Source organism: Homo sapiens, chromosome 13 (assembly GCF_000001405.40).
Source record: "Homo sapiens chromosome 13, GRCh38.p14 Primary Assembly".
Lineage (NCBI taxonomy): Eukaryota > Metazoa > Chordata > Mammalia > Primates > Hominidae > Homo > Homo sapiens.
Window position 1 is genome coordinate 44,397,715 of NC_000013.11, and position 8,270 is coordinate 44,405,984.

Consider the following 8,270-nt stretch of genomic DNA (forward strand, 5'->3'; position numbering starts at 1 on the left):
TACCATGTGTGGGTTACAGTGAGAAAACTAAAGTGAAGAAAACAGCAGAATAGCTCAAGGAAAGTTGGGAGGTGGGGAGATTTGGTTATGCAGTTGGAGGAGGCGCAGGGAATCTGTGGGAGGGGAACCAGAGCTAGATTTACTCAGCAGGTCCCTGGCCAGACCCTCAAGATCTTTGCCTGAATGAAGCCCTGGGCAGTTCTAATGACCTTGCATTTTCTACACATTTGATTCTTCTTTTTTTTCAATATTTTTATCTTGTTTGTTCTTCTCTTTTTCAGTTCAGAAAAGGCATGTACAATGTATGTGAAGGTCCGATTAGTCATTATCTCCTCTGTGGTCTGCCTCGGAGCTTAGCACAGAGCAGATGTCCCAGGCCTCTTGGTGAGAACCATCCAACCCCAGAGCCCAGCCTCAGCCACTCCAGAGGTCTGGGTAAATCAGGAGCCTTGCAGCCCTCTGGGGGATCAGCTGGCAGAATTGGGGGGTGAGGCTCTCTCCCTGGCCAGCCTTCCCCACAGCTTCTCAAAGCATGGTGTTGCCAAAGGAAGTTACAGGGACAGCCACAGGATCACTGGTAGGATTAGAGGTGGTCACCCTGCAATATGAAGCACGCTTTTGTTTTTATTAATTTCCATCTTTGCATTAGCAATTTTTTCATTCATTAACTTCACGAGAGCTTTAAAAAGGAAAGTTACAGACATGACCAGGGTCTCTCTGGACCACTTTACAGGTTTTGGTGTTAGTGGCACTGTTTGAATTAGGGGCTTCTTGTTCATTGGAGTCTTTAACTTCAGACCCTTTAGTGATGTTCTTTCAGGCTTTCTTTTCTCCCACCCTTAGAGCTCCCCTCCAAAAGCATCCCTTCCCCCTTCTTCCTCCTTTCTTTCCCACTAAGAAGAGAGGGTAGTCAGACTGCTCCAAAACCAGCAGCCCTGGGAACAATCTACCACCCCGTGTTCCCTTGCCACTCCCACTCCCCAGCCCCCAGCCCCTTGCAAAGTGGCAGAAGACATTTCCAGCCACTCAAGGGTGGCATACAATAGATGCTCTCCAAGCTGGTCCCCTCATCCTGTTGGCTCTGACTGTCCTCTTCCAGGTCACCAAGTCAGACCAGTGTGTGGTAAGAGATCAGCCCTAAGGGATCCTGCTTGGGGCCCGGGAGCCCACGCTGCCTGCCAAGAGGAGGAAAAAGAAAGGCTCTTGCCTTCAGGTGACTGGGTCTGTGTTCCCATGTGTCTCTTTCCAACTCCCACATTGCCTAGACTTGATTAGAGTGCAGACCTTCTCTTTCTCCCTTAATGCCCATACAAGCATACCTCCCAAACCACCAATAGAGGCCATTACTGGCCTGAGCTTTGTGGTTCATCCCTTATTGGACAGAATTTTTTTCCCCTAATTTGGCCTTTCCCATAACAGCAATAGTCAAGAGGGTGATTATCCCCATTTCGAGGAAAGAGAAACTGAATCCTGGCCAGAGTCCGTTCCAGATAGACCCTGCTTGTCCCCAGGTGACAGGTGCGATGGGCTGAGCATGGTAGGCTGTTGGCTGCCATCCATAAAACTGTCCAAGATTGATTTCTCTCCCCAGGCTCTGCAATCATCCATAAACTGGTTTTCTATTAGTTTCCAGGTAGCCTCCCTGAAGTACTTGTATATGGCAATCTACCCTCCCTGGTGACTTTTTCCATCTGTTCTCTGCAAGCAGACATGAGAGCTGTCTTAGGGAAGTTAGGGCCATTGTTGATCTATATTGTACTGCAGAGATGACAGCAGTTTCCCTGTGAAACGTAGTAAGAAATACACAGAAGCCCAATGCACAACATACCCTCCAAAACAAGTTTTACAGAAAGAATTACACTTATCCCTACCATACATGATGCACTCTGATTTTTTTCTAGTCTATTTTTTGAATTAAAATTAAAAATTTCTAGTCTAATTTTTTGAATTAAAAATTAATTCAAAATGGTTACATCCTCAACAACTGATTTTATAGCCCATGAATAGATTTCAACCACAGTTTAAAAATACTGCGCTTCAGAAGAAAATCAAGCCTTGGTTGGGGACAGATCAGCAGGGTTCAGAAAGCAGTAAAGTTGGAACCCCACTTTGCATCCTGGTGAGAACTTAAAGTCCCATCTCAGTCACCGCCAATCAAAAGCTCCAGCAGCACATGAAAAGCGACTTCTTTTGGGATTGAAGGCACACTGGCAGATTCTGCAGAGAAAGCTAGGGGGCCAGGTGAGCCTGTGGATCCAGCACCACCTCGAATCCATAGAAAGACTGTGAAATTAATGTCCATTTATTTCATAAATAAATGTCCATGCTGGAAGGTTCAATTTGTCAGCATTCACTTACTGGGAATCACAATCACTTAGGACGGGCGTGGGGAGTTCTTAAAAGTAGGAATCCACCCCAAGCCTGCTGAAAATCAAACTCTCAGAGGAAGACATGCATAGGTTTTGCGTACGTGTTTTTTAAAAGATGTAGACAATTCTGATGCCGCCCATCCACCAATGAACATTTGGGAACCAATTCACCACCAGACTTAGTTTAATTAAACCAAAGCAGGGACCCAGAGGCAATGCCGCACACCTAACCCACCACATTCAACCTGATCTCTGACAGCTTCTTTCTCCTTTCACGTTCAAAAGCATCTGGGGGCTCCTGGGGGTTCAGCGGTGATGATACACTATGTTTGGTTTTGCTCCAGTCCTTGTGTGTGTCTGTGGCCACAGACTGGAGCACAGTGTGCTTGCTACTTGACTTGACTTTTGAGGCTCTATAGAGGAGAATAATCGTGCCTTATGGAAAGGCTAAGGTCTTTTCCTAGGTCCCCTCCCCCAGGACATCATCACAGGTCAAACACTGTTTCTGGGAAGGCCAGTGCCCCTTGAAGGTGCTCCCTGCTTCGGAAGTGCCTAAACACAGGAAACATGCCCTCAGACATGGGGGCTGCACTTTGTTATAAGACAGTTCTCATCCTATCCAGACACAAGAACATTCTAACATAATATCCCTGCAGTTCTTCCACAATTGGTCCCCAGAGCTTTGGAGGCAAAATGTCATCTGGGTGATGTCCTTTCTCCTACAGCCATCATCAGGCTTCAGCTGCAAGCTGTGAACATATATTAATTGCTGTCAGCAGCAGGTCCCTTTCTTTGAGAAATCTTCAGGTCCTGAGGCTTCCATCTGCCAGCCATGGGCCATGACTTCCTCTCTAGGGGTCAGCAAACTTTATCTGTAAAGGGCCAGTAAATATTTTAGGCTTTGCAGGCCATATGGTCTTGAGACTGTTAAATTCTGCTGTTGTAGCTTGAAAGCAGCCTTTGACAATATGTAAATGAATGACCATGGCTGTTACCCAGTAAAACTCAATTTAAAATACAGGTGAGGCCAGGTGTGGTGGCTCAGGCCTGTAATCCCAGCACTTTGGGAGGCCAAGGTGGGTGGATCGCCTGAGGTCAGGAGTTTGAGACTAGCCTGGCCAACATAGAGAAACCCTATCTCTACTAAAAATACTGAAATTAAGCTGGGCACGGCAGTGGGCACCTGTAATCCCAGCACTTTGGGAGGCTGAGGTGGGTGGATCACCTGAGGTCAGGAGTGCAAGACCAGCCTGGCCAACACGGTGAGACCCCATCTCTACTAAAAATACAAAATTAGCTGGGCGTGGTGGCACATGCCTGTAATCCTAGCTACTCAGGAGGCAAGGCTGGAGAATCACTTGAACCCAGGAGGCAGAGATTGCAGTGAGCTGAGATTGCACCATTGCACTCCAGCCTGGGCAACAAGAATGAAACTCCATCTCAAAAAAAAAAAAAAAAAAATTAGCCGGGCTTGGTGGCACATGCCTGAAATCCCAGTTACTGGGGAGGCTGAGGTGGGAGGATCCCTTGAACCGGGGAGTTCGAGGTTGCAGTGAGCTATGATAGTGCCACTGCACTCCAGCCTGGGTAACAGAGCAAGACTCTGTCTAAAAAAAAAAAGATCCCCAGGTATAATCCAGATCTAGTGAATCAGAAACTCTGGGGGTGGGGCCAATAGTATAGGTTTTAGAAGCCTTCCAGGTGATTCTTCTGCAAGCTCAAATTGGAGAACCCTGCTCTCAGTCTGCTGCCAAAGCTGTCTGCTCCAGAGAGTTTTTGGTAGTTAGCCATACCTCTGGACAGTCCTCTTCCCCTTCCTCCCTCACAAATTTAAGTACACCCTTAGTACTTAATTAACTCTTAGGTACCTAGAGATTTGCTCTCTGCTTGTTTCATGTTTCTATATTTTGTCTCCCAGTTAGATTGAAACCCGTTGAAGGTACAGTATGTGTGTGACTCCTTCCATCTCTACCCCACCACTGATCCATTTTAAGCATTTAATAAAGGCAAGGAAGGCCTTCACCTTTATTAACTTTTTTGAAAAATCAGAATTTTCAGCCCACAATTCACTTTCAAAAATACACATTAAGTGCCTACTCTGTGCCAGGCCCTGTTTTAAGGCACAAGTCCTGGCCTTCATGAAACTTACATTCCAGTCAGGGAGACATAATAAGCACATAAATTATCAATAAATACTATGAAGAAAAATAAAGCAAGATAATACAGTGGCGACTGGCGGGGTGACAGATTTTAAACAGCCTGGTCACAGCAAGGCCAAGAAGAGAGCACTGCATTTTTAGGACCTAAAAGAGAATATGCAGGCCTTTTATGTTCTCCTCTTCACAGATCAAGCCTAACAGTACTCGTTTCAGTATTAGGCAGGTTAGAATGCCCTGTGCTGCAGGAACAACAACAAAAGCTCAGTGGCTTTGCACGTAAACGTTCACTTCTCTCTCACACAAGTCGAATGCAGGCTAGTGAGGGCTTCCCTCCACGTGTTGGCTCAGTTGTCTGGGTTCTGCTGCCATCCCAACACTAGGTCGCCTGTGCACAGAGAAATGCCAGGGGATGACAGCTCCCCCTTTTAGTGATTCACTTTTTCATTTACAGGAAATCTTCAGGTGTGTTTTCCCTCAGCCAGTCCTAGGGTACGGCAGGTGACACCTCCAACCCTCTCGGAAGCACACCCAAGGCGGAGGGAATGATGTTGGGAGAATAGTAGAAATTTCTCCGGTTCCAAAATCCGTATTGCTTCCTTATGGGAAAGGGCTTATTTTTCCTTGTTTTCCATCTGGCTATTACCATTTTGATAGCCTCTCTTCAGGCTAGATAAGCTGGGGGTGTCAGGGACAGATGAGAGAAGAAAAAAGGTACATTTCTGGTGACAAGGCACAAATAGGCTTGTCAGGGAGCGAGACGCACATGCAGGATAAGGGCTCTCCGTGATGTGGAACAAGCCTGTGTTTGGAGCTCAGTAAGGCGGAAAGCCAGGTGGGTTGGAGCCCCACCCTTTCCTGAGCTCTCAGGCTGAGGCTCCTGAAGGCTTCAGGAGCACAGCAGCACCTTGTTGACCTGCAGCACCCTGCCTGCTTGGCCCGGTCTCTTCACGCTGTCGCTCAGTGCACAATTGAATTTTCCTCCTGAGGAAGTTGATGGCTGCTGGAACACGCAACGACGTTCAATACGATGATGAACAAAAAGTATCTGCAATTAGACATACCTCCGCAGCACTGCTGTTTGCTGTGTCTTAAAGGAGGTTGTTTGGAAAAAAACGAAGAGGAGTTGATGACATTGTTCCAAGCTCTGCATATATGGGAACACTTGAACTTTTTACACAGTAGGAAAACATTTCATTTGTCCCCTGCCTATACAGCCCAAGCTCCTGTCTCGGTGTTTCTTTCTATCTTTCAGCAAGTGCTGCAAATAGGCAAAGGATGGCAAAGGAACAGCAACCCTCCCCTGTGAATCGGGGCCATTCACGGTTAGAGTCACCAAACCTGTATTTCAGGGGACATCTTTCCAGCTCCCAATCTCCCAGCTTGGCTGGCTGCCCTGAAAAGGGACTGGGACTTGGCTCTGGGAAAGACATGGCTCCCTTTCAGGCTGAGTGAAACCCCTAAGGGTCCCTCCCGTTTTCTAATATCAGGGCTTGCTACCTGAGCTCATTGTTTGTTAGTGTTGGAAAAGTTTCCTGCTGCTTTCCAACCTGGCCCATCTACCCTGGGGCTGAGAAGGGGAAAAGTCGCTGATGTCATAACCCAGCTTGGTTTTGCTGCCAGTGGCAAGGGGATGGGAGTAAGCCAGCGAGCAGCCTTCCCTGGGGCAGCAATGACGGCAGGAGCCCCAGGCCGGCCAGCCGTGCAAAATAGGCTGCAATCTTCATAACAAAAAAGCCACCCTTGACAACATATCCCTAGGGTGCGGGGGGCCTCTTTACGCCTTTGTCTCTCTGTATGTCTCTCTCTCTGTCTCTCCATTTCTCTGTGTATTTTTCTGTCTCCGTCTCTGTCTCTCTGTGTCTGTTTCTCTCTGTCTCTGTTTCTCTTTCTCTTGCTAAGGAACAGCTCTTGCCACTTTATAGTGGCAAGACTACTTATTCTCTGTTTTGAAATGCAGAATATGCCAGGGATTGGGGTATCTAGCACATCACCTCTTCAGACTTCATGCACTGTGCCCACAGTGCCCCTCCGCAGGCTTGTGCTGGGCTGGACAAGCCTTCCCTTCGTCCCTCCCCAAGCCTAGATTCCAGCGTGCCCTCCCTGCAGAAGCTGGTCTCCCTTCCCCTCTCCCTGCATGCTCCCTACTGACCTCTTCCCGCAGCCAGGGAGCATCTGGGGCAAATGCAAACAGTTCTGTGGTCTGCTTATTTGCTTTTCTTAGTGCAAAGGTGGAGGCAGAATGTGGTTAGTGCAGCCACCATGGCTGCCAGGAACAAAGTCAGTTCTGGGGAAGGGGAGCGCCAGAGCCTGCCAGCCCAGCAGCCAGCCCTGCCGGAAGGCCCCCAAGCCAGGATCCTGTCAGTCTCCATCTAGAAACCAGACAGAAAGCACTTTTGTAAATGTTAACCAAAAAGGTCCCCCTGTGATGGCTGTGCTGTAAATCAAAGTAGACAATGTGGGGTGGGGGCAGGGCACACGTCTTGTCTCTGGAGCCATCGCAAAGCAGGGAGGGGATGCTCCTTCAACTCTCAGGTGGGGACTGGAGCTCCCCGCTAGTCCACGCTGGAGAAAGGTTTTTAGGGCCTGGAGTCACCCAGGACCCATCTCTGTCCAGGGGGTGCTGTGTAATATTCACCATTAATCCTACACATCTGGGAAGCATTCTCCTGCTAAAGATAAGATAAAGCCCAAATGATTTGTGTTGGGGGCTGGCTGGGGGGCTGGGGGGAGGCCAGACCTGGAAGGCTGGGCACACAGGAGCACCCTAACCAGCAAGCGGGGGACGCAGCCTCCGCGGCATACTCCCACAGTCTGTCTGTGTTGCCGGGCAGATTCCCTAAGCATGGTGCACTGAGGTACACAGGGAATCTGGAAAATTATTTTGCTTTACACAATGGAGACTGTGTTATTTAAGTTTAAAATACCATGGGGGAGGAAGGTAAGCATAATCAGCTTTATAAGAGAACAAGCAGGCAGGGGAGCTTTTCCCAGATTCCACCCTTTTGTTAAATCTCTGAGGTTTCCAGAATGTAGTTCTTCCTCGCTCCTGCCGCCTCCCACCTTCCTTCCCCACTCTCCCCTCTCCCTCTCTGCCTTTCTCTGTGTCTGTGCCTCTATAACAATAAAAATCATCAACGCAGCCATTGCTGTGAGCAAGGTACTGTTTCAAGTGCTTTTCAGATCACGTAACCCCCAAAACTCTATGAGGAAGGTTCTGCTTTCTTCTCTGCATTGCGCTCTCTTTCTCTCCCGCTGCCTCTGCCTCTCTCATACACACACTCACCCCCTGACACACACACACACACACACACACACACACACACACACCCCTTAGGCCTCTCTATATCACCTCCACACACTCAGACACATACCCACAGTCTTGTCCACATCAATAAGAAGCAGTTCACCTCCACCGGAAGGGACAGCCTCAGAGCCTGAAGAATGCCAGCCTTTGCACTCCTGCGCTCGGAGGTTCTCCTGAGCTACCTGGGGTGCAGTGGCTATGAAGGCCTCAGTATTCAGACCTCCCTGAACTTGGCTGAAGATCGTGAACAGGAAAGCAAGCTCTATCCCTGCTGACTCTACCTGCCAGGCTGCCCAGCCTAGCAGGGCCAAGGCTGGATCTACTCTCTCTTCTGTCCTTGGCACTGCTCTGACCTTTGAGGGGAGAGAGAGGCAGCCAGAGGTGAGAGGGAAAACAAAAGAAGACTCTGGTTTCCAGCAGCAGCACTGACTAGAGAAC

At 48.6% G+C, this 8,270-nt stretch overlaps 1 long non-coding RNA gene across 1 annotated transcript; it reads right to left on the bottom strand.

The window, feature by feature from the left end:
• Positions 1-2,535: 2,535 nt before the first annotated feature.
• Positions 2,536-8,270, bottom strand: TUSC8 (tumor suppressor candidate 8). The gene is made up of 2 exons (NR_104174.1): positions 7,900-8,270; positions 2,536-3,241 (listed from the first exon to the last, which is right to left on the bottom strand). It is a non-coding gene; the product is annotated as a tumor suppressor candidate 8 (long non-coding RNA).